General features: G+C 44.5%; 2 protein-coding genes and 1 non-coding gene across 20 annotated transcripts in view, besides 3 other annotated features; all 3 read left to right on the top strand.

The window, feature by feature from the left end:
* The window catches only part of ZNF343 (zinc finger protein 343), a 43,183-nt gene extending 39,780 nt beyond the window's left edge, over window positions 1–3,403 (top strand). For 10 of the 17 annotated variants that reach the window (XM_047440476.1, NM_001282495.1, NM_001282498.2 and 7 more), the window contains 1 exon segment: window positions 564–3,403. In XM_047440476.1, coding sequence (XP_047296432.1) covers window positions 564–2,059 — 1,496 coding nt within the window. In that variant the 3' untranslated portion in view covers window positions 2,060–3,403. 17 annotated transcript variants of the gene reach the window in all.
* Window positions 14,422–14,471: an enhancer, noted in NCBI's record as "active region_17467". NCBI's record gives its function as "activates an Ori minimal core promoter by ATAC-STARR-seq in GM12878 lymphoblastoid cells {active_cell/tissue: GM12878}" and the evidence as "EXISTENCE:reporter gene assay evidence [ECO:0000049][PMID:35858748]".
* On the top strand, window positions 14,431–23,578 carry SNRPB (small nuclear ribonucleoprotein polypeptides B and B1). Of its 2 annotated transcripts, none has more exons than NM_198216.2 (7): window positions 14,431–14,532; window positions 17,462–17,613; window positions 19,401–19,512; window positions 21,321–21,473; window positions 21,993–22,131; window positions 22,459–22,584; window positions 23,427–23,578. In NM_198216.2, exons 1-7 carry the CDS (start codon window positions 14,530–14,532, stop codon window positions 23,462–23,464), a joined length of 723 nt encoding a protein of 240 aa, NP_937859.1. In that variant the 5' UTR covers window positions 14,431–14,529; the 3' UTR covers window positions 23,465–23,578. The 2 variants fall into 2 exon arrangements, with proteins under 2 accessions (NP_937859.1, NP_003082.1); NM_003091.4 differs by having other exon boundaries at window positions 23,281–23,578.
* Window positions 14,482–14,531: an enhancer, noted in NCBI's record as "active region_17466". NCBI's record gives its function as "activates an Ori minimal core promoter by ATAC-STARR-seq in GM12878 lymphoblastoid cells {active_cell/tissue: GM12878}" and the evidence as "EXISTENCE:reporter gene assay evidence [ECO:0000049][PMID:35858748]".
* Window positions 14,692–14,811: an enhancer, noted in NCBI's record as "active region_17465". NCBI's record gives its function as "activates an Ori minimal core promoter by ATAC-STARR-seq in GM12878 lymphoblastoid cells {active_cell/tissue: GM12878}" and the evidence as "EXISTENCE:reporter gene assay evidence [ECO:0000049][PMID:35858748]".
* On the top strand, window positions 22,173–22,268 carry SNORD119 (small nucleolar RNA, C/D box 119). The gene has a single exon (NR_003684.1). It is a non-coding gene; the product is annotated as a small nucleolar RNA, C/D box 119 (small nucleolar RNA).

Raw genomic sequence — 24,835 nt, 5'->3', positions numbered from 1 at the left:
TTAGTAGAGAACCTAGTACTTTGGCATTTTCTAATAAGTCTTTGTTTACAGGTGGGCAGCCTGAAATTTATATTTGTTTTATATACAATAATTTCTTTAACCAGTATTCCATACACTTTCTCCTACATTCGGAAGCCCTCCAGAATGAGGGACTTTTTATGTCTATCAGACCCTTTTTTATATAATAAGAAAAGTCATGAAGGAGATTTCCACATGTGTCATAGAGACCACTATCTCCAAGCAGAACAAAGAGCTGTGGACAGTATATACCAATGTGAATGTCTATGGCTTAGGAGAAGGCTAACTATGATTGAAGCTGTTTACAGAGCAGAATACTCACTTGAGAGGTTCCTGGTTTCTCAAGATATTTTTGTTATGGATTTTCTGGATTGCAATAGAAAATGTGATGGAATGTAAAGGAATCATTGTTCAGAAGCAAATTGTGTTATACTTATATTATCAATTATAGGCATGGCAGTAAAACATTCTCTGTCCTAAGACAAGGCAGAACAACTCAGCAGCCCTACTTATGGCTACTCTAACAGAAAACTTTCATTCTTCAGCAGAACCAAAGCCAGAAATCTACACTTGTTCCTCCTGCCTTCTGGCCTTCTCCTGTCAGCAGTTCCTCAGTCAACATGTACTTCAGATCTTCCTGGGCTTATGTGCAGAAAATCACTTCCATCCAGGGAATTCTAGCCCAGGGCATTGGAAACAGCAGGGGCAGCAGTATTCCCATGTAAGCTGTTGGTTTGAAAATGCAGAAGGTCAGGAGAGAGGAGGTGGCTCCAAACCCTGGTCTGCAAGGACAGAGGAGAGAGAAACCTCAAGGGCATTCCCCAGCCCACTCCAAAGACAGTCAGCAAGTCCTAGAAAAGGCAACATGGTGGTAGAAACAGAGCCCAGCTCAGCCCAAAGACCAAACCCTGTGCAGCTAGACAAAGGCTTGAAGGAATTAGAAACCTTGAGATTTGGAGCAATCAACTGTAGAGAGTATGAACCGGACCATAACCTGGAATCAAACTTTATTACAAACCCGAGGACCCTCTTAGGGAAGAAGCCCTACATTTGCAGTGATTGTGGGCGAAGCTTTAAAGATAGATCAACCCTCATCAGACACCATCGTATACACTCGATGGAGAAGCCTTATGTGTGCAGTGAGTGCGGGCGAGGTTTTAGCCAGAAGTCCAACCTCAGCAGACACCAGAGAACACATTCAGAAGAGAAGCCTTATTTGTGCAGGGAGTGTGGGCAAAGCTTTAGAAGTAAGTCCATCCTCAATAGACATCAGTGGACTCACTCAGAGGAGAAGCCCTATGTTTGCAGCGAGTGTGGGCGAGGCTTTAGCGAGAAGTCATCCTTCATCAGACACCAGAGGACACACTCCGGTGAGAAACCCTATGTGTGCCTGGAGTGTGGACGAAGCTTTTGTGATAAGTCAACCCTCAGAAAACACCAGAGGATACACTCAGGGGAGAAGCCTTATGTTTGCAGGGAGTGTGGGCGAGGCTTTAGCCAGAACTCAGATCTCATCAAACACCAGAGGACACACTTGGATGAGAAGCCTTATGTTTGCAGGGAGTGTGGGCGAGGCTTTTGTGACAAGTCAACCCTCATCATACACGAGCGGACGCACTCTGGAGAGAAGCCTTATGTGTGTGGTGAGTGTGGCCGAGGCTTTAGTCGGAAATCACTCCTCCTTGTCCACCAGAGGACACACTCAGGGGAGAAGCATTATGTCTGCAGGGAGTGTAGGCGAGGTTTTAGCCAGAAGTCAAATCTCATCAGACACCAGAGGACGCACTCAAATGAGAAGCCTTATATTTGCAGGGAATGTGGGCGAGGCTTTTGTGACAAGTCAACCCTCATTGTACATGAGAGGACACACTCAGGAGAGAAGCCTTACGTGTGCAGTGAGTGTGGCCGAGGCTTTAGCCGGAAATCACTCCTCCTTGTCCACCAGAGGACACACTCAGGGGAGAAGCATTATGTTTGTAGGGAGTGTGGGCGAGGCTTTAGTCATAAGTCAAATCTCATCAGACACCAGAGGACACACTGACGGGAGAAACCTGTGTATGCAGGGGTCATGAACAAGACCTGAGTGACCAGTCAAGCCTCATGTTACCCCAGAGAGACACATGGGGAGTAGACCCTGTGTACACAGATTGTGAGTGAAGTTCCAGAGATGTGTCAGCCCTTATCAGGCATGGGAGGGACACGTTCAGGAGAGGAGCCTTATGAGTATAGAGTACGGGCAACTGTAGCCATCAGTCAGCCTTGAGCATGCACAAAAGGACACACTTAGGAGAGAAGTTTATGTGTAGGGACTGTGGGAAGGCTTTAGCAATAATCAACATTTACCAGACATCCAATGACAGCCTCAGGGGAAAGCACCCTTGTCTGGGGAGTGTTGGGGAGCATCAGTAAAAGAATGGACACTCAGGCACAGAGTGGCCCTCAGGAAGGAGGTCTTTGTTTGTAGGATGTATGGGCAAAGCTTTTGTGATCACACACCACAGGGAGAATCTGCATGTGGGGACACTGTGGAGCTCTGCCCAGATGACCTTTTCAGGGGTAACACCCCAGCTGCTTGAGAGAACAGTGTTGCTGCTGGCAGAGATGCATTCCAGAGATGCACTCCGCTCTGGAACTCACTCTCAGCCACAGGGAGCTGCATGCACCACAGGGGCAATGCACCTTTGCAGGGGTACCTTCTGGCCCCAACCCTTGACTCAACGGGGACAACTCCAGAAGGTCATTCCAGATCCAGAGATCCCCATCGAACTGAAGGATCACTGGGTTGCAGACACATTGCAGGTCAGCTTCTTCCTCTGCCCAGTCCTGCCCTCACTCCCCAGTGAATCCTCAATTTTCTGTCTCGTTGTCTGTCCAGATAATTGATTCTAAGACATGTTAGGTATATAAGGAGTGTAGATAAGGCTTCAGCCATGAGTCACCCCGCAGTAAGCCCCAGAGTATATTGAATAGAAATTCTGCATGTGTGGGGAGAATGGACAAGGACTTAGGAAAAAGTCCTCATCAAAGAACAGCTTTTTTGGGACAAGCTTTACATGGGTGGGGAGGGAAAATGTGAAACACATTAGCAATAAGTTAAACCTCATCTTGTACTAAAGGAGGACACACTCAGGGAGAAGACCTCTGTGGGCAGGGCTTGTGGGTGGAGCTTCATCCCGATGTCACTCCTCAACTGACTTAGGAGGACAGTCTTGCTACCCCAAGTCACTACCTCACTCACCTCTGAGGGATTTTCAGGAAATGTCTTGACTCCCCCATGTACTCTGTATGTGAGCGAAGATGGCAGTAACTGTTAAATAAGCATTCTTTTCTACTTCTTGGAATCAGATGAAATAAAAAAGCAGGCTTTATTTAAGTAATCAAAAAATGATCAACTTGTTTTATTTTCATATACCAGTTCTTTCCCGTGTTTTCTTATCCCTTTGTTTTAGTTCAAAATTTCTTCAATAAGTTCAGGCTGTGTAGCTTGGCCACTCATCTGACTGAAAGGGTGCAAGGAATTCAAATTCACAGTCAGGGTTTCCTGCATAAATTCAACCCTTGAGAATCAATCTAATAGATTTTTTTGGAGAATTTGATCCTTTTCATGTGGAGGAGTGATTAGGTTCTAGAGACAGGCCAGTTGCAGGGAGGGGATTTTCCAGGTCTCCAGGGCTGGGCTGCCTCTTCTCCAGACTGATCACTTTCTTCAGCTTCTGTGAAAGCTTCCTTCCCTAGGTATTCTCTCTCTCTCTTTGTGTGTTTCTCTTTCTCTCCCCATCTTGCCTTCTCTCTTTTTCTTTCTTTCTGCAGGTGTCTTTGCTGAATACTTCTCTATTCCACTGAATTTTTGCAGTCCTTAATGATCTGCTCATGTCCTCCAGTTCCAGGGACCCTTTAACCACATCCCCTCTGCAGCCTTCCAGATTGCAGAGGCAGGTCCTTTAACCATGCCCAAACTGTTCTCTAGTCATGAGTCATTGCTTTGGGCCTCTTAGCTACTCCCCATGTCAGATCAACAATAATAGATGTAAAGACCCCTAAACATAGCTCCGATACCATGTCCCCTTGGCCCTCCAATTCTAGGGCCCAGTCCTGCTAATGATACCCACACATCATCCCTTTAATAACTGGTCTGAGGCAACCTAGCCATACTCCGTCCATTGTTTTTCAGGCCAAGGATCTGCCCTTTAGCCACACCCTTTTAAAATCTTCCTCCCTCAGAGCCCAAATTGCCCAGACTTTTGAATAAACTCCACATGCCCTGGCTCTGATTTTCTGTCTTGGACCAATAACTATTCACTGGAGAGGGTCTTCCTAGGCTCCAGCAACTTTGTTTGCCCAATTGGAGTTTGCAAGATCCATAAAATGCATATCAGGCTTGGAAAATCAGAAGAAGCATGAAGTGTTTTGGACACCTCATTCAAGGAGAGGATGAAAAAAGAAAGAGTTACTGGCTCCAAGGCCTCTCCCCACTTGCCTCCCCCAGGCATGAAGTTAGCTGTCTTAATCTGTTTTCTGCTGTTATAACAGAATGTCACAGACTGAGTGATTTATAATGTACAAAAACTTATTTGGCTTATGGTTCTAGAGGATGGGAAGTCCAAGAGCATGGTGCCAGCACCTGGTGGGGGCCTTTATGCTGCATCATCCCATGGTGAAGACAGCAGAGCAAGCGAATATGTGAGACAGAGAGCAAAAGGGGGCTGGAATTACCCTTTTTATCAGGAGCCCACTCCAGTATAATTAATCCACTCCTGTGATATTGGCATTGTTCTTGAGGGCTCAGCCCTCGTAACCTAATCATCTCTTAAAGGTCCCACCCATAAATCTCATCATAATGGCAATTGAATTTCAACATGAATTTTGGAGGAGACATTCACACCATAGCATCAATTACGCAGTGGCTCCTCAGTCAGGTCTGATGAGGGAAAAGGATGTGCATGTCTGGGAGTGTGGGCCCCCACCCTTTGCCAGAACTGCCCCTATAACACCAACTTCTGATCAGAATTGGAGGCCACTGAGGGAAAAGTATATGCAGGCATATAATCTCTAGGGTTTTGAAGAGGGAAGGGGTAGGCCCTCCCCATTCCGGACAATCCCAACATTCCTCCTACCATTGGGAAAGAAAAAAGCAAACAAGAAAACTAGCTCTTACTTTTGAAAAAAGGAGTGGAAAGAAAAAAATGATGCAGAATTATTGTTTTTTACTGAAATCCCCCATAACCTATAGCGACCTCAGATGTGGCCCAGGGAAAGGGCTGCCTGCCCTAGCCCAGCAGAGGGAGAGGGGCAAAGATGTCATCTTTCCAGCCCTGGAAGGGGCTTCCTCAGGCTGTGCTGACTCCCCTCCTTTGTTTCTAGGAAGGGTCACTATCAGGACCTTTCCACTCCATCCCAGAAGGAAACAGAATTGAAACGTACTAGAGTTTCTCTCAGAAGAAAGAGAGATGCAAATTCTCCACTCCAGGACTATGGCTTTGGTGCCTAAGAAGGAAGAGTTCAGTTTTTGTGTAGAGCTTATTTCCAACATGAGATGGGTGTTCAAATGCCTGCAGCATCCAAACAAGTCCTGTTAATGAGGGGACCAGATTGGGTGGGGTGGGGAGTACTTTAGAGAACTGGGGGACTCAAACTAAAGTCAGATTGCTACCTGCATCCTTCCTGGCCTCACCATCTAAGCCTCACTCCAAGAAGTCTTGAGCTCCACCTCTTTTTGGCCTTTTAATTTAGCTATCCATGTCCTACCCATTTTTTCAAACCATGGTCTTGAGTTCAGAACCCACCATCATTCTACCTTACTTTTAGTTTTAGAATTTTTTTTTATATTGATTTTTGCTGAGTTTTCTGAAAAATTGGTAGTGGATTGCCAGGCATGGTAGCTCATGCCTGTAATCCCCAGCATTTTGGGAGGCCATTGTGGGAGGATCACTTGAGCCCAGGACTTTGAGACCAGCCTGGGCAAAATAGTCAGACCTTGTCTCTTTGGGGAAAAAAAAAAATCAATTTTAGTTTGGAAACATTTGACCTAGTAATCGCAATGAGCAGAAACAACGAAATCTGACCAAAAAACTTACAGAAATATGACTACCTGGAGTAGTCATAAGGTGGTACCTTGTGTGATGAGTCCACAGAAAGGATTTGGGTTGAAGGGACTTTCAAGATGGCAGGCAATCTGACAGCACCTGGTTGTGAAATTAGGTAAAGTGATTCAGATTAAAGGTGAAATAATTTATACACGCAAGCTCTAACCTAATTTCAAAATATCTGTGCATATATTTCTCCTATATCCAAAGTAAGTTGGCCGGGCGCGGTGGCTCACACCTGGTGCTGGGCTCAAATCCAAAACTCCCAAAGTGCTGGGCTCAATCCCAGCACTTTGGGAGGCTGAGGCAGGTGGATCACCTGAGGTCAGGCATTCGAGACCAGCCTGGCCAACATGGTGGAACCCTGTCTCTACTAAAAATACAAAAATTAGCCAGGTGTGGTGGCACATGCCTGTAATCCCAGCTACTTGGGAGGCTGAGGCAGGAGAATTGCTTGAACCTGGGAGATGGAGGTTGCAGTGAGCCAAGATCACACCATTGCACTGCAGTCTGGGTGACAGAGTGAGACTTCGTTTCAAACAAAAACAAAGTAAGCACATATAATTTTTTAAATCATTTTTTCTAAAAGAGAGAAAATGGTAGAGGATTCTTGACAGACATGAGATTCTCTCATTGCATAATCTTTTTCTATACCATGTTATGCTTTTTTATTTTCTCTAATATGCATGAAATGTGTAAGGGATAAAATCTGCATTCTCGTGGAAAGATTATTTTTATCTAGCCCCATATCTTATTCATTAATTTTAACCTAGAAATCATTTTGGAGAACAGCCAAACACTCAGCTGCTCTTTGATTAAAGAGAAATTTGGGACTGGTTGGAGCATGACATTCTAGAATCCCAAAAAAAAAAAAAAAATAATGAAACAAGGTTCCTAGAGTTCTACCTAACTAGTGTTCTTGAAGGGTAAAAGCATTCCTTCTGTGAGTTATGGGGCAATAGTTGATGACTAGAAAAATCTCACAAAGCCAGGTTACACATGAGGATAGGTGATGCTCTATCTGCTACTGATGCAGACCCCAAGGCCGAGTCCAGCTTCCCCAGCTCGGCCCACTCTCAGGTAGAGCAGTTGCTCAGCAGCGCCCTTACTGCTGCCAGCCATCAGTTCTTACCTCTTCCCTGCTTTCCAATTCCTTTGGGAACTAGAAAGCGATTTTTTGGCTGGCAGAAAGAGAGCTGAGTTTTGTAAATTTTAATGCTACTTAAAATCGTTTTTGTCTTAGCTTCCTCTCTTCTGTGTCTGTTCTAGTAACCTGTAACCTAGGTTAAAGAAGAAGGGCCTGTACCTTCTCCTAAGTCACGGCCACTAAAAGTGGCTTGTCTTTTTTTTTTTAATGGAGACAAGGTTTTACTATGTTACCCAGGTGGTCTTAAGCTCCTGGGCTCAAGCAATTCTCCCACCTTGGCCTTCTAAAGTGTTAGGATTACAGGCATGAGCCACTGCATCTGGTCACCTGTCTTGAGAGAAAGGCTCAACCTGTAAAAATCTTTGAGTAAATAAATTGTGCAGTATTGGAGGTACACTTGACATAGCTAGTAAGAATATGAAAACATTTCCAATCAGATTTTCTGCTGAATATATTGACAAAGGAATTTCATATGGGGCTGGAGATCTAGAAGAGATATTGCAGAGAATCCGAGAGGAAACTTAAGAGAATGAAAGGAAGTGTGATAAACAGCACTGAGACCAGTAAAAATCTGGGAAGTCAGAAGTATTGCAGTTGTCCAGGCAAAATTTATAACAAGCTATGGCAACAGCAGAGTGGACTGAAAGAGAAGATAGACTTCATAGGGTTTGTCTCCAAAGCACTTGGTGATTGCCTGAATGTAGAAGACAGGCAAGAATGTAAAAGAGGACTCTCACAAACACAGCTTTCGAACAGTAGACACATTTGCAAAAGAGAAAAAGTTCTCACCACTCCAGGAATCCAAGCAGAAAGTCAACACCCCTCTTATCTGTGTTTACCATAAGAATAGTTTCTTCTCTAGAGGGTAAGTCAAACTGGGTGTCCTCTTTTTCCCATCTGCGTCCAGGATTGTGCCTTTCTATGTGGTAGAGTACGTCTGTGTGTGTATGTGAAATTGTGCCAATTATCAACTTATTGTTTGAGCTTCAAATTCTTGTGTTGCCTGGTCTGTGAAAATGGATCTGGGCCCTTTACGTGTTTCCTTTGCCAGCTGGCATAAGGTTTATCAGTAGAGGGCACCAGAGCAACACTGCAGGGAGAAGGGTCCTCTTTCTTGGGTCAGGTGGCTCTTTCACCAGGTCCTGGAGAGTACCTGTTTTTTTTCTTTTCTATTTTTTTTTTTTTTAAGATAGAGTTTTGCTCTTGTTGCCCAGGCTGGAGTGCAATGGCGTGATCTTGGCTCACTGCAACCTCTGTGAGAGTACCCATTTTTACTCTACTCCATGGCCAGTGAAGTTTTCTCCCGTGCTAAATGCCTGCAGGACACAGCTTTTTCTACCAATTGGCCACCATAGGAGTATGTTTTGTCCAGCTCTCCACTCAGGCACTGGTGGCTCAGTTGGGAGCCTAAACAGCACAGGCCTGTGCCCCAGCCCAGGCCACTGCCATACCCTCTCTGCAGCCTCACTGGTACAAATGCTGGGGGCCCCACGGGACTGGCCGTCTAGCAAGCAGACCACCTGACCTCCTCCTGTGCGGAGGCTTGAGCCTCCCCAGCCCACACTGACCCTCTCCCCAGCTCTAGTGCATGCACACTAGGGCCCCAGTAGCCACTGTTGGGTCTCCCAGCCCAAGCTGTGCACAGAAGAGTACTAGGTTCTTGCAGCTCTCCAGCCTCCATTTCCAGCAGTGCCCACAGCAGCGCCTTGGCCGCCTCCGCTCATCCGCCCATTAACCTTGGCTCCTGTTGTTTCCTTAGGCCTTCCCCACACAGACACCATGTGATCCAGGCCTTGTGTCAACATCAACACCCCAGCTCTCTCTGTATTCCCAATTCCCTCTGTGTACTATTTGCCAGCTTTGGCTTGCTTGTGCCCCAGAGGGTTATTTCTGCTTGCTTAGTGACTGTGGACCAACTCTGGCCTGCACAACCTTCCCCCTCAAACTTTTCTGCTATCCAGTAGGCTGCAACCACAACTCCAAGAAGGACTGAACCCTAGCCTTGGGGAGGGAACCCTCCTTCCAAGTTTATCCTTGGGTAATCCCCCTCAGCTGTAGGATTTTCTTTTTGTATTTACATTTATCTTTGGAAAATAATTTTTTTGGGGGGTGGGGATCGAGTCTTGCTTTGTTGCCCAGGCTGGAGTGCAATGGCACGATCTCAGCTCACGGCAACATCCACCTCCCTGGTTCAAGCATTTCTCCCTGCCTCAGCCTCCTGAGTAGCTGGGATTATAGGCACCCGCCACCACAGCCGGCTAATTTTTGTATTTTTAGAGATGGGGTTTCACCATGTTGCCAGGCTGGCCTTGAACTCCTGACCTCAGGTGATCCGCCTGCCTCAGCCTCCCAAAGTGCTGGGATTAAAGGCATGAGCCACCATCCCTGGCAAAATAATTCTTTAATTTAAATTACTGTATGGTTTCTGTCTCCCTGTCGAACGTAGATTGATACAAGTGTGAAGGTATATGTGTGTGTTTTTAAAATGAGGGAAAAGACATGAATTTTGACTGCATATATTTGGTGAGCCCAGAGATAAGCCAAATAAATAATGCAAGTCAAAACTATTAATTATGAATACTCAGCTGGGGCTGTGACCCTGAATCTAGACACAGAAATCTAATGGTCTACATCAGAGGTTGGCAAACTACAGCCTAAATGCCAATCCTTGCTGATCACATGTTTTTGTGTGGCCTTGAGCCACACAAAATGTAAATGGTCTTTACATTTACATTTACACAAAATGTAAATGGTCTTTACATTTTAAATGGTCGCAAAGAATTTAAAGGATAATAATATTTTGTGACATCTATTTGTATCCATAAATAACATTTTATTGGAACCCAGCCACACTCATTTGCTAGGTATTGAGTATAGCTGCTTCCATGGTACATGGTAAAGTTGAGTAATTGCAACAGAGACCAAATGGCTCGATAGCCCTAAAATGCTCTCTGCCCTTAACAAAAAAAATATTGGAAACTAACCAGTCTTATACATATTTTAAAAAAGTTTGCCCGCCCCTGATCTAGACTGAAACTTGGGACCATTTTATCAAGTAAATACCAGATGAATTGCCTGTTTAATCCCCGGCTCTGAATTCATGACCTCTTTTCCCTTATTTGTAGATTGGCAAACTAATTGAGTTGCAAGGCATCTAGAATAGCCAAAACAACCTTGAAAAAGAAAAAGGAGGAGGATTCACACTTTTTCTGACTTCATATAGATCAAAGGAATAGAATTGGAAGTCCAGAAATAAAACCATGTGTCAATGGTCAAATGATTTTCCACTAGGGTGCCAAGATTATTCAGTGGGGGAAAGAAGAGTCTTTTTAACAAATGATGCTGAGCTAACTGTATATCTACTTAGAAAAGAATACAGTTTGACCCTACCTTATACCATATATAAAATATGAACTAAAAATATATCAAAAATCTAAATGTAAGAGCTAAAACTATAAAACTATTAGAAGAAAACAAAGGGGTAAATCTTCATAATCTTAGATTTGGCAGAAAAGATTTTTCTTATTGCACCAAAAACATGAGCAACAACAACAACAAAAAGATAAATTAGACTTCATCCAAATTAAAAAACTTTTGTACAGGATATTACCAAGAAAGTGAAAAGGCCAGGCATGGTGGCTCATGCCCGTAATCCCAGCAGTTTGGGAGGCTGAAGTGGGTGGATTGCTTGAATCCAGCTTGGGCAACGTGGTGAAACCCTGTCTCTACAAAAAAAAAAAAAAATAACAAAAATTAGCCACCGTGGTGGCATGCATCTGTAGTCCCAGCTACTCGGAAGGCTGAGGTGGGAGAATCGCTTGAGCATTGGAGGTCAGGCTGCAGTGAGCTGTGATCGCACCACTGCACTGCAGCCTGGGTGATGGGGTGAGACTCTGTCTCAAAAAAAAAAAAAAAAAAAAAAACTCACAGAATGGGAGAAAACCTGTATAAATCATATATCTGACAAGGAACTTGTATCTGTAATGTAGAAAGAATTCTTACAACTCAATAATAAAAGTCAAATGGTCCAATTAAAAAATGAGAAAAGGATCTGAATGGGCATTTCTCCAAGGATGATATATAAATGGCCAACAAGCACATGAAAAGATGTTCAACATCATTAGTCATGAGGGAAATGCAAATCAAAACCACGATGAAATTGATAGCACTTCACATTAAGATGGCTTGAATCAAAAAGTCAGATAATAACAAATATGGGTGAAGATGTGGAGAAATCAGAACCCTCATACGCCACTTGTGGGAATGTATCATGGTGAAGCCACTTTGGAAAACAGTCTGGCAGTTCTTCAAATGGTTAATCAGAATTATCATATGACTCAGAAATTCCACTCCTATCTGGATACCAAAGAGGAATGAAAGCATGTCCACGTGAAGACTTGTACACGATGTTTACAGCAGCATTATTTATAACAGCCAAAAGGTGGAAGCAATCCAAATGTTCGTCATTTGATGAACTGATAAAATATGGTAGTTCCCTCCTTATCTGAGGAGGTTATATTCCAAGATCACCAGTGGATTCATGGAACGGCAGATACTACCAAACCCTATATATACTATTTTCTCTTATACATACATAGCTATGATAAAGTTTAATTTATAAATTAGGTACAGTAAGAGATTAACAATACTAATAGAACAGTTATAAAAATATACTGTAATAAAAGTTATATGAATGTGGTCTCAAAATATCTTGTACTGTACTCACCTATTTTTATACTGCAGTTGATTGTGGGTAACTGAAACCACAGAAAGTGAAAGATGGATATGGGGGGACTACTGTACATCCATACAATGGAATGTTATTTGGCCATAAAAAGGAATGGAGTATTGATACGTGTCATGACATGGATGAGCCTTAAAAACATTGTGCTAAGTGAAAGAAGGTAGTCACAAAAGACCACGTATTATTATATGATTCCCTTTATATACATTTTCTAGAATGTCCTTCATAATATTCATCCTTCTGATAGACCTGAGTGTAGGTTCAGGTCTCTGCTCACATACCACTCCTCAGAGAAGTTTCCCCTGACCACCTAGCCAAAACTGTACCCTATCCCTCTCAGTTCCTCTGCCTTTATTTATTTTTTTCATATCACTCTAATGTTACATTGCATACTTATTTATTTGGTTTACTATGTCTTTCTCAGTAGGATGTAAAGCTCCGTGAGGGAAAGGACTCTATCCCAATAATGGTGCATGGCCTTAGTAGATGCTAAATAAAAATGATTTTAAATGCATGCATGAATGAAGTGTTAGGCAGCTGGGTAAGGTGGGGGCAAATGAACAGCTGAGGAGCCAGACGGACCTATATTCCCACTCTGACTCCGCCACTTTGGGCAACATAATTCATTTCTATGAGGCTTCGCCTCTTCATCTACAGGTGACAGGAAACGGGACAACAGAACACACCCTTTAGAGATGGTGTGAAGATGGCAAAGCACCAAGGTGGAAGCTCTCCTTGCTGGGTTTGAGGAACAGCAAGGAGATTAGTGTGACTGGAGAAGGATGAATGAGGGCAATGTTGACGGAGATGAATGAGGTTGGAGAGGAGCGCAGAGCTAGATTTTATTCCATGTGTGCTGGGAAGTTTTTGGTAAGTGGAGACCAGGACATGACATCATCTGATATCCCAGTACGTTTAGAAGGATCCCTCTGGCTGCCGTGAGAACAAGAAAGGAAGCAAAGAGACAAGTTACGGGCTCGTTCAATGATCCAAGACAGAGACGATGGTGGCTATGACTAGAGTGGACGCAATGGAGTGGGTGACAACAATCATATTCAAGATAATTTGAAGGTGGGGGCCACAGGATTTGCTGATGAATTTGATTATTCGATGGCAGAGAAAGAGAAGAATGAAATATGCTTCAAATTTGTCATTTTCTTTTTTTTCTTTTTTAATCCAAGAAACTTCGGGGATGGGGAACACTGGTGAAGTGGTTTTAGAAACAGTGAATAGAATCAAGAATTCAGTTTTCAACATGTTAAATTTGGTATACCTATTAGACATTCACATCACGCTGGCAGCTGGATATAAAGGGCCAAGAGTTAAATGAAGAGACCAAGGTTAGAGGAACAAACTTGAAAGCCTTGGGTGTATATGCTGTATTTAAAAGTCATAGGAAGGGCCCAGTGTGATGGTTCACGCCTGTAATTCCAGCACTTTGGGAGGCCAAAGTGGGTGGATCAGGAGTTCGAGACCAGGAGTTGAGGTCAGGAGTTCGAGACCAGCCTGGCCAACATGGCAAAACCCCGTCTCTACTAAAAATACAAAAATTAGCCGAGTGTGGTGGCACAGGCCTGTATTCCCAGCTACTCGGGAGGCTGAGGCAGGAGAATCGCTTGAACCGGGGAGGCAGAGGTTGCAGTGAGCCGAGATTGTGCCACTGCACTCCAGCCTTGGTGACAGACTGAGACTCTGTCTCAAAAGAAAAAAAAAAGTCATAGAAAAAAAATAAATGTCATACGACTGGATGCGATTATCAGCAAATATGGGTAGAGCCCTTATTTTGTGCTAAAGTGTTCTAGGCACTACAGCAATGAGTAATACACAAAGAGAAAAATTCACACCCTTATGGATCTTACATTCTAATGGGGAGGGGATAATAAAATAACTAACAAAAATATACAGCGTGTTAGATAGCAAGAGGGAAATACAGGAGAGATGAGGATGAGGTGGGTGGGAAGGTTACAGGATGGCTAGGGAAATCCTCACTGGGAAAATGTTATTTAAGCTTAAACCTTGAAAGAGGTGAGGGCAGCAGCCTTCTGGTATACCTTGGGGACTACCATTCCAGGCAGAGGCGAAAGCAAATGCAGAGGGGCTGAAAAAGGAGCACGTCCAGCCAGTGGAGGGAAAAGCAAGAATAGTGACTGTAGAGGAGAGAGCCGGGGAGGGTGATGGGAAATGAGGACCGAGAGGTTAATGGGAAAGGCGGGGTGAAGAGAAATGAGTGTGACACAGAGCAGCTCTCAGTACGGATTTAAGCTAGGAAGGTGTCCAAACAGGAACTTAAGGCTCTCCTTACGTCAAAGCCGGATGTTAACGCCCAGTCCCCAGGCCCCGCCTCTGCTCGGCAGAAGCTCCGCTCCGGGGCCGGAACTCCAGGGCTAGTGAGCTGGACCGGAAGTAGGTTTCTACCCGACCGCATTTTACGTGGTGCTGCATTTCCGGTAGCGGCGGCGGGAAATCGGCTGTGGGAGAGAGGCTAGGCCTCTGAGGAGGCGAATCCGGCGGGTATCAGAGCCATCAGAACCGCCACCATGGTAAGGAGGGCACAGGCTGGCGGCGCGGGAGCTTCCGAGTCTGTTGTGGAGTGGGAACCGCGACTGATCGGGGAGGAAGCCGTGGGTTGGAGCCACTTAGGGCGGTGAAGGCCTGGGCCGAGGCCGCTCGGTCTGGGCGGGAAAGACCAGGACCTTGGCGGTTCGGCTAGGCATGGGGTCGAGGAAAAGGTTGGAACCGGTGTCGGAGGCCGAGGTCGCTCGGCAGGGGCGAGGGTAGAACCGCGGCTCTCGACACCGCTGTAGCCATAATTCCTGGGACCCAGTAGGCACTAAGTTAACTTTTGCCGAATAAATATATGTCCCGGGCTTCGGAGCAGGCACTGGAGCCGCAGGGGGACCCGGTAAAAGGCTCAGACTTGCGGAAGTTTGTGAGTCTGAGAAAGAGTTGGCGGAAGTGGGTGGAAGGGGCTCGTGGACCACGCTAGAGTCTCGCTAGGTCTGCTGGATGGAGAGGAGGGCGGAGGAGGGTGATGGCGAATGGAGGAAGAGCTCCACTCAGTTGCTCATCACGTTTCCGTGTTTGCCTGTGCCTGACTTCTCAGGCGCTGGGGCTACTCTCTGAAATATGTTTGCTTCCTTCACAGAGGTAGCTGGGGACACATAATATAATTCAGTGTGGTCATTCGGTAAAAGTAACGGCAGCGGGGCGGGGTAAGAATGTTTTCTCAAATAGATGGTTCCTGAGCAGATTCCTAAAAGATTAGCAAGAATGTTCCCGGCGAAAATGGGGGGAATATTACAGACCCGGAGAACTGAAGGAACAAAGGCTGAAGGGTAACAAGATTTAAAAAGTTACTGGATTTTTCTGCGTTTGTTGACTGAGAAAAAGTTGCTGGAGGAGAAAGGAAGAAAGAAGGGAAGACGGGAAGAATTGGCAGGAGGCTAGTTACTAAAGGCCTTGCATGTTAATTTTACCTCAGTGGTGGTGAGGCATGTCATTGAAGGATTTAATTTAATTTATTTTTATTTTTTTGAGACGGAGTTTTGCTTTTGTTGCCCAGGCTGGAGTGCGGTGGATCGATCAGGGTTCACTGCAAACTCCACCTCCCGGGTTCAAGCGATTCTCCTGCCTCAGCCTCCCAAGTAGCTGGGATTGTAGGTACCCGCCACCACACTTGGCTAATTTTTTGTATTTTTAGTAGAGACGGGGTTTCACCATGTTGGCCAGACTGGTCTCGAACTCCTGACCTCAGTTAATCCACCCACCTTGGCCTCCCAAAGTGCTGGGATTACAGCCGTGAGCCACCACACCCTGCCCACTGAAGGATTTTAACCAGCAAAATGACATAAGCTTAGTGGTGTTTAGAAAGATTGCTCTAGCTCTGGCATGTATATTCGATGGGACTGGAAGCAGGGAAACCTGGTAGGATATTGTTTGGATAACTGGTTAGAATAGGCGCTGGATTCATTTTGTCTAGGTTCCAACACAGCTTCCCAGCTGTGAAACTGGGCAAGTTACTTAACCTCTCCTAGCCTCAGTGACCTCATCTGTAAAATAGGGATAATAATGGGCCCAATTTTGGGGATTAAATGAGATGTACTGTGCTTATCACAGTGCCAGATACACAGTGAGCACCCAGTAAACATTAGTTGAGCTGGACCAGTGAATGTTGCCCTAAAGGTTCAGATCCCTTGTGGTTAGAAGCTGGTTAAAATGGTCATTGAATGGAAACTGAACCACCTAACCTGAGGGAGGCTCGCAGTATCTTTGTGTGGAGTCAAGTTTTGTTTTTGTTTTTTTGAGATGGAGTCTTTCCCTGTCACCCAGGCTGGAGTGCAGTGGCATGATCTCAGTTCACTGCAGCCTCCACCTCCCAGGTTCAAGCGATTCTCCCATCTCAGTCTCCCGAGTAGCTGGGATTACAGGCACCTGCCACCACGTGTGGCTAATTTTTGTAATTTTAGTAGAGACGGGGCTTCGCCATGTTAGCCAGGCTGGTCTTGAACTCCTGACCTAAGGTGTTCTGCCCACCTCGGCCTCCCAAAATGCCGGGATTGCAGGAGTGAGCCACTGAGCCCGGCCATGGAGTCAAGGTTTTGATCTGCATATTTGCAGGTTCAGAACTTTGTTGTCTGAGCTCACAGAGATGAACAGATGTCCATAGAAGGCACTTGGTGGGTTAGGACTTGGGTATAGCAGTCAGACTGATGGGAGGATGATATACAGATCAAATGCCAGGTGATTTGTTTATAGAGAGAAATACAACTGCTTAGGGTACCTGACAGTTCACAAAGTGATACCTATATAGTCACTTCTTTATTTTAGCACATTGGAACCCAGGTTATGAAAGCAGAAATGTTTGTTGGGTTAAAGACCATTATATGTCCAAACTGGTTAGCACCCTAACCATCAGAAGTTTCCCTCTGCCAAATATAGTCTTGGAGGCACACTAACAAATTCTTGATATGTGGATTTCATTTTTCACCTTGAAGCTGATCTCCTTCCTGATAACAAGCTTCTTGTTGATTAGATTTTTAGTTTCAGCCCTATTCTAGCTCTTCCTTTACTCAGTGTTTTTAATGAGATTTGAATGTTCCATAGCACTTGAGTCACATATCTATAATCTGCACACTGGTAGATGGCTCTAGTATGTATGCATTGGATTATTTTGGGGACACCCTATACTCTCATCCCTGCAACTGACACGACAAGGAGAAAGGCAATTATAATATGAGAAAGACCGATTTCAAGGGAAGAGAGAATAGCAGATTACTGGGTAGAGGTCAGGGCTAAAACAGGGTGGCATGGGAGAATTCCTAGGAAAAGGCTGTGGGTGGGAGACTGAGCTAAGAATCTGTTGAGAAAGTTGGACACATGGACAAGAACGCCATGGGAAGTTTTGGGGAGGGCCAGAGGTGCTTGGGTCCAAAAGAGCAGAGTCTCATCCCTGTCCATTTCTCCTTGCAGACGGTGGGCAAGAGCAGCAAGATGCTGCAGCATATTGATTACAGGATGAGGTGCATCCTGCAGGACGGCCGGATCTTCATTGGCACCTTCAAGGCTTTTGACAAGCACATGAATTTGATCCTCTGTGACTGTGATGAGTTCAGAAAGATCAAGTGAGGAGTGGACTGTGGGGGGCGGAGACTGGAGGATGGGAATGGATTGAGTGGGTGGGCCAAGCAATAGAGGTGGTGATGTAGCTAGTTGGTTCTTCTCTGTTTATTCTCCAGTTTTAGAGGGCAGACTTAAATGGGGACATTGAACGCTAAGAAATCTTTTTGAGTCCAGCAAACCTTGCTCTCTAGTCTAGCAAAGTACAAGTTGTGAAGGGCTGCTAGGCTTTTTGTTTCTCTCACTTTGCGTGCCCCTGGGTACTGGGGTAAAGGGCTCTCATGTTCTCCCCACAGGTGTGTGAGGGGGGAGAGCTTGAGTTTCTGGCCTCATTGCCTATTTGTAAAGCTGTAGCCTAAAGGGCTCTCCCAATGCAGCCTGGTCTGAAACTGCTTTAAGAAGCCTCTGACCCTCTTCAGGGTAAGTGCTCAGCTCCCCATGTGGGTTTGGGGCCAGTGATTTTTGTTGGCATTTATACAAACAATTGGAGATATTGTCTACTTTGCTACAATTCCGTAAGTTATTGGCTAACTCCCTTGCCTTGAGTCTCACAGATCTTAAGCTTTTGGCCCATTAAAAGATATGATTTAGCTTCCCATCATGTTTTACATTCAAGGCTACTTGAGGCACAAAAAGATGATGTGACTTCCGTGGCCAGCAGCTCTTTTGTCATATGCAGTGTCCATATTATTCTGTCACTCACTTTGAATTCCCTTTGATTCTCCTTGGGGCTGATTTCTTCTGTGACCCAAGGTCAAGAAGTATAGTTTAAAAATGTGGTAGGGATGCCTTGGTGCCAGGTACGTATTAGAGAGGGGCCAACAGATGAGCGTGGAGCTACTCCAAAGTTCCCTCCTGATTATAAAAAATGTTTATTGGAAAATATTTTTGAAAATACAAAGAAGTCTATGAATAGAAACTAAAATACCCCGAAGGGTTTTTTTCTAATTATGAAAGGACAATACATGGTTATTATTTTAAAAAATAAGAAAATGTGAGCCAAAAAAGGGAAAAACTGTCCATCCACAGACAACCAGTTAATATACTGTAAAATATCAAAACAAAATCTTTTGAGTTCTTTTTTTAAATCAGGCTATTTTTTCCCCTTTATTTTTAGGATCTAGCTTTAGCTTTTTTCCCCACTTTCCTATCCTGTTGCAGTTATTTTTCCTACTTCACATTTATATTTTGTTCATCTTTTTCTGGTTGTTGCTTTTTGGGGGTTTCTGTTTTTATGCTTTTGAGGAACAGATATGAAATTTCAATTTCTGTGTATGTGAAATTTCTCTTAACCTTTTCCTTCTATGGCTTCTCCTATTTCTGATGTAAGATGAGGGGCAGAATTATAGGCCTGTGAGGTTGAATTGATATTAGAAGGACACTGCACGTAAGTGAGGTGGGTGGGAGTCATTTGATTGGAATTGTTTAGGCAGCCTCCTGATGTTGGCAAGACCTTAAGCTGAAGGGAGGGAATAGGGTCCTAAGAAAGAAGACTTGGCTGAGGGAAGGGCCTTCACGGTTGCTGTGGAATAGCATTTGGGCCCGGGCTGGGCTTTGTTGACCTTGTCCTATCTCTTGGTCAGTGTGTCCTCTTGGCATGGTAGGAAACAGGTAGATAGCCACCTAAGAGGTTATGTGTTCAGCCTGTAGAGACTATCCAGGAGGGCTATCTTGGGAAAGTTTGTGTACTGTTTGTTAGGAGATGCAGTATAAGCAAATCTTGGAGGCCACTAGGCAGGTGAACTTTACCCACCTCTAACACTTTTTTTGTTCCTTCTAAACCTCTCTTTAGGCCAAAGAACTCCAAACAAGCAGAAAGGGAAGAGAAGCGAGTCCTCGGTCTGGTGCTGCTGCGAGGGGAGAATCTGGTCTCAATGACAGTAGAGGGACCTCCTCCCAAAGATGTAAGTCAGAGCAGGAAGCCTTGTGGAGGAGGGGAGGCCCTACTGTGAGCCAGGCTCTGTGTTAGATTCTGTTTCATTGCAGTTCTCACAGGCATCCTCTGGATTTTGCCCCCTTTTTCAGATAATAAATGAAATCTTAAAGAGGTTACCCTGCAAGAGGCCGGGCGCGGTGGCTCACATCTGTAATCCCAGCTCTCAGGGAGGCAAGAGGCGGGAGGATAGCTTGAGCCCAGGAGTTCGAGACCTGCCTGGGCAATATAGCGAGACCCCATTCTCCAGAAAAAGGAAGAAAAAAAAAAAGACAAAAAAAAAAAAAAGAGGTTACCCTGCAAGAAAGAAGTGGAAAAGGGGAACTAGAATTTGGGTATCTCAGACTTTAAAGCTCTACCTGTTTCTCAGTTGATGTACATAGTGAGTCAGTGGAGGAAGCACCTGAAGCCATCTGGGTCAGTTCTTAATGTGACGACAAAGCCTAGGTAGACCTTAAAAAGTTGTAACTCCGAAACAATAGGAAATGTGTGTATTTTGTTTTGTACAGTTACAGTTCATAGTTACTGAGAATCTACCTTGCGCCAACCACTTCAGTATTTTATTTGATCCTTTAGGTCTCTTTAGAGATAAATTCTCATCTTATAAATAGAATAAACCAGGGCTTAGTAACTTGCCCAAGGTGCCACAGCCACTAAGTGGTGAAACTGACATTTGATCTCAGACAGTCTTGATTCTGTAAACACCAAGCTACACATAGAAATAGAGCAGGCTTTAGAGACCTAGTCAAATTTGTTTTCCCTTTCCCTTTTTCATTTGAAGGGTTTTTTTTTTTTTTTTTTTTAGATTTTTAGATGGAGTCTCGCTCTGTCGCCAGGCTGGAGTGCAGTGGCACGATCTTGGCTTATTGCAACCTCTGCCTCCCGGGTTCAAGTGATTCTCCTGCCTCAGCCTCCCGAGTAGCGGGGATTACAGATGTGAGCCACCACGCCCTGCCAAGACGTTATTTTAATCAAAAGAGAATAATCCTTTTAACTTTTTAAAAATCCACATATATTATCTGGATTTTTTTGTACTTAACACATAGTGGGCATATATTATGTTGTTCTGTGTTTTCACTTAATGTTAACATTTTTCTAGTTGCTCAACACTTTTAAAGTCAAGTTAATGACTGAGATTTTCTCAAATGAGTACAGAGTAGTTTATCCTAATCATTTTCTTTTTTGGAGATTTTTACGTTTTTGCCTTTTCCAGTTAAAAATGTCTGCAAGGGATGTTAGCATATCTTGGTTCAAAGTCCATGTACATATTCAAATCTCTTAGTACCTACTTCCAGTAGAATTGGCTGGTCTAACATAACCCATCATAAACCTTTGTGATCACAACCAGTTGTACCATAACCATGTCATTTGCAGATAAGGCAACTCAGCCCGGGATTGTGGGATTATTTGTCCATTGTCACCTAGCGGATTAGAATCAGCTGGGAATGGATCTCATGTCCCTTTAATGCCTTGCCTGCTGAACCCTGAGTGGAACCCTGGCCCTTTGCTCTTGGTTTAACTTTCACAGGAGTGCATATAGGTGGTTGAGTTGTGGCATGTTTCTCTAGACTTACTCTTAAGTTCTACCCTGCTTCAGGGATAACTCATAGTCTTGGATGGAGGAAGAATGGTGTTGGCACACATGGAGAGGTAGTATTTATAAGCTATTTCGATAGTATTTATAAGCTATTTCGAGGGGCTCTCTTGGCAATGATATTCCAAAGTATACTTCTGATCTTCAGATCACTGGGCATCAGAGCATATTTGTTTATTTTTCAGACTGGTATTGCTCGAGTTCCACTTGCTGGAGCTGCCGGGGGCCCAGGGATCGGCAGGGCTGCTGGCAGAGGAATCCCAGCTGGGGTTCCCATGCCCCAGGCTCCTGCAGGACTTGCTGGGCCAGTCCGTGGGGTTGGCGGGCCATCCCAACAGGTGAGGAGTTGGGGAAAGGGTACCACCTCCTGGTGGCTAAAATAAAGGATAAAGGGGAGGGTCCATAGTTTTAAAAGGGTCCAGAGTGACCAACCTGTGATTGTCAGACTATCAGTGTTTCACTGTGGTTTATACATGGCCCTAGAAGCAAGTGAAAAGGATAAGTTGCCATTGTAAATTATGTTGATGCTATTAAAGAGATGTACGAATTAGCCAACTGTATTTAAGGAAAATATTTCCATGACAGCATTTGAAATCATGAGTCATATTTGAAAATGCAGTTGCCTTCTCTCACTTGGATTGGACATGCTTACATTCAGGTCTAGAAGATGGGAGTTGGGCATTCAAGCTTGATCTTTCCCGACATGTGGTTTTGGATGGGAAGTCTGGTGCTGAGAGTTGTAGCATTAAGGGATTTGGTGTCTGTTATTTCCCACTGTCCTTCCCCAAGTTGGGGAGGAGAGTGGGAAGCTGCATTGTACTGTACTCTTCTAACTCTTTCTTCTTATGTCCTCTTAGGTGATGACCCCACAAGGAAGAGGTACTGTTGCAGCCGCTGCAGCTGCTGCCACAGCCAGTATTGCCGGGGCTCCAACCCAGTACCCACCTGGCCGTGGGGGTCCTCCCCCACCTATGGGCCGAGGAGCACCCCCTCCAGGTGAGGAGCCCATAAGGAGACCAGTGCTAATTGATAGAAGATGCCTTAGCTGGATTAATGATGAGATATAACCTTGACTGAAGCTGATGATGAGTTTGTATAATTAAGCAGGATTACTCTGAGATCCAGCGTGGCTGACTGATGAGACTAGGTGGACAAGAGCCATTGGGAGCCCTGGGTGTTAGGCTCAAATGTCAGTTTTCTGGGAGCTGCTGAGAGGGTGGAATGGTCCATCTATCTCAGAACTTGGTGGAAAGCTTTGTAGTTTTTTTGCTACCTTTTCAAGATAGACACTTGAGCTATATTCTTGGGGCTTTTCTCTTGCAGGCATGATGGGCCCACCTCCTGGTATGAGACCTCCTATGGGTCCCCCAATGGGGATCCCCCCTGGAAGAGGGACTCCAATGGGCATGCCCCCTCCGGGAATGCGGCCTCCTCCCCCTGGGATGCGAGGTAAGTGCCTGCAGTGGTGACTTTGGCTTCTTTCCCTAGAGCCTAGTGGGATAGGAAATGGAGGGAAGATTGCATTTAGATCATATCCCATGGGCTTTCAAGCCTTAAATCTAGGGAAATCCAGAAAGGAAAGAGAAGAGGGAACATTTCTTAAATTGGGCTTACCTCCCCTCTTAGAAAAGTTAGAGCAGCCATGCACCCAGGGTGTTTCTCAATATCTAAGGCAGCGGCCTCAGGACACAATGAAATAATGCATTCTGAGGATCCCTAACAGAAGTTATGAGATTGTCTTATGCTCTTTGGTTTGACAGTGCCTAGTAATTAAGAGGGGGCTCTGGGCTTTGCTGTACTATTATGGATTTCTCTTTAACTTCAGTTGGAGAAATTCTGAGATCAGTCCCCACATGGATGAGAAAATAGGCCCCCAGGGAGTTTGGACTCCAAGCCCAGTGTTCTTTCCCTATAAGATAACCCATGGGCAAACTTGGTGACCCCTGTTTCTCTAGTCTGGATTATTCCTCTATGGGTTTTTATAGACATAGGAACCCAGTCAGCCTCAGAGTAGTCCCTAGTTAGCACATATGCCATGTATACCCCTCTCCTCACTCGATTACTGCAGGGCGTGGGAGGCTGGGGCAGGGTTGGGGATTCAAGTTGCAGATCAGGCACTGACTAAACTTCTTACTCTTACTTCAGGCCTTCTTTGACCCTTGGCCACAGAGTATGGAAGTAGCTCCGCAGAGGCGTGGGCTCGATTCCTCAGGGCCACGTTACCACAGACCTGTTTGTTTCTTATGCTGTTGTTCGTGGAGTCTCATGGGATTGTCTGGTTTCCCTTACAGGGCCCCCTCCCCCGGGAATGCGCCCACCAAGGCCCTAGACTCATCTTGGCCCTCCTCAGCTCCCTGCCTGTTTCCCGTAAGGCTGTACATAGTCCTTTTATCTCCTTGTGGCCTATGAAACTGGTTTATAATAAACTCTTAAGAGAACATTATAATTGCACCTATGGATCTTTATTTTTAGAAAAATCTTTGATATATTGGGTGCTTAATAGAGTCAAGAAGGGTTGCCTTGGAAAAAATTAACCCTGATCTTACCTTCTTCCCTATAAAATGTTTTACTACCCATTTGCATCTGTACATCCTCATACACTAAGATACTTACAAAATTGAACATTTTCACTTATCAGATTCAAAGATCAGTTTTGTTGAAATCAGTACCCATAATATCCTCTTGGGAAGGCACTTGTCTAGATAGCTTCTCCATGAAGCAAATGCTAAAAATGAAAATTCTGCTGGGAGAGGAACAATTTTGGCATAACTTTCTGCCAGGGTCACACACGTAACATATAACCTAACGTAACTTTTGAATTGTGGTATCTTCATGAGTTCTTCCACCCAAAGCCTGTGTTCACTGAGCAGCACTCTAGTACTTAGTGCATCAAGCTCTAAGGGTACAAAAATAAGGTGAACACTGTTGTAAAGTTACTGTGTAGGGGGAAGATAATTGTAAATGCAATCAGTGGTACTTACCACATTAATGGAAGAAAAAAGCCATAGGATCTTCTCAACAGATGCAGAAAAAACATTTGAGATGATTTCAACACCCTTTGATGATAAATACACCCAGCAAATTAGGAGTAGAAGGGAATTTTTTTTTTTTTTAAAGAGATGGCGGGGTGCAGGCATGAGTCACTGCACCCAGCTCAGAAGGCAATTTTTAAACAAGATTAAGGGATTTATGAAACACAGCTAACATAATAGTGAAAGACTGAAAGTTTTACCCTTATGATTAGGAACAAGACAAGGGTTCCCACTTTGGCCACTTTCAACATTGTACTGGAAGTTCTAGCCAGAACGATTAGGCAAGAAAAAGAAGAATTGGAATTGGAAAGGAAGAGGTAAAACTATCTCTGCAGAAGATATCCTGTATATAGAAAACCCCATCAACTAGATAGCTACTAGAGCTAATGAGTGAATTCAGCAACGTTTTAGGGTACAAGATCACATAAAAACTATTCCATACACCACCAACAAACAATCTGAAAAGGAAATGGAAGAGAATTCCAGTTAGGATAGCAACCAAAAGAATACCTAAGAATCAAAGCAAGCAATACCAGAATACCCAGGAATCAATCAAACCAAGGTGAAAACTACAAATCCTGAAAGAAAACTAAGTAGATGAGGAAAGCCAACATGTTCATGGATCCAGACTTACTATTAAAGTAACAAATAATAGTCTCCAAACATTC

Source organism: Homo sapiens, chromosome 20 (genome assembly GCF_000001405.40).
Source record: "Homo sapiens chromosome 20, GRCh38.p14 Primary Assembly".
Lineage (NCBI taxonomy): Eukaryota > Metazoa > Chordata > Mammalia > Primates > Hominidae > Homo > Homo sapiens.
Note: the sequence above shows the minus strand (reverse complement) of the source record. Positions and strands in the feature narration are given on the sequence as shown.

Bases quoted from the DNA above. Each gene is read 5' to 3' on its own strand.
- SNRPB (NM_198216.2), top strand. The intron at 17,614-19,400 runs GTGAGGAGTGGA...ACCTCTCTTTAG, and splicing joins GATGAGTTCAGAAAGATCAA to GCCAAAGAACTCCAAACAAG. The intron at 22,585-23,426 runs GTAAGTGCCTGC...TTTCCCTTACAG, and splicing joins TCCTCCCCCTGGGATGCGAG to GGCCCCCTCCCCCGGGAATG.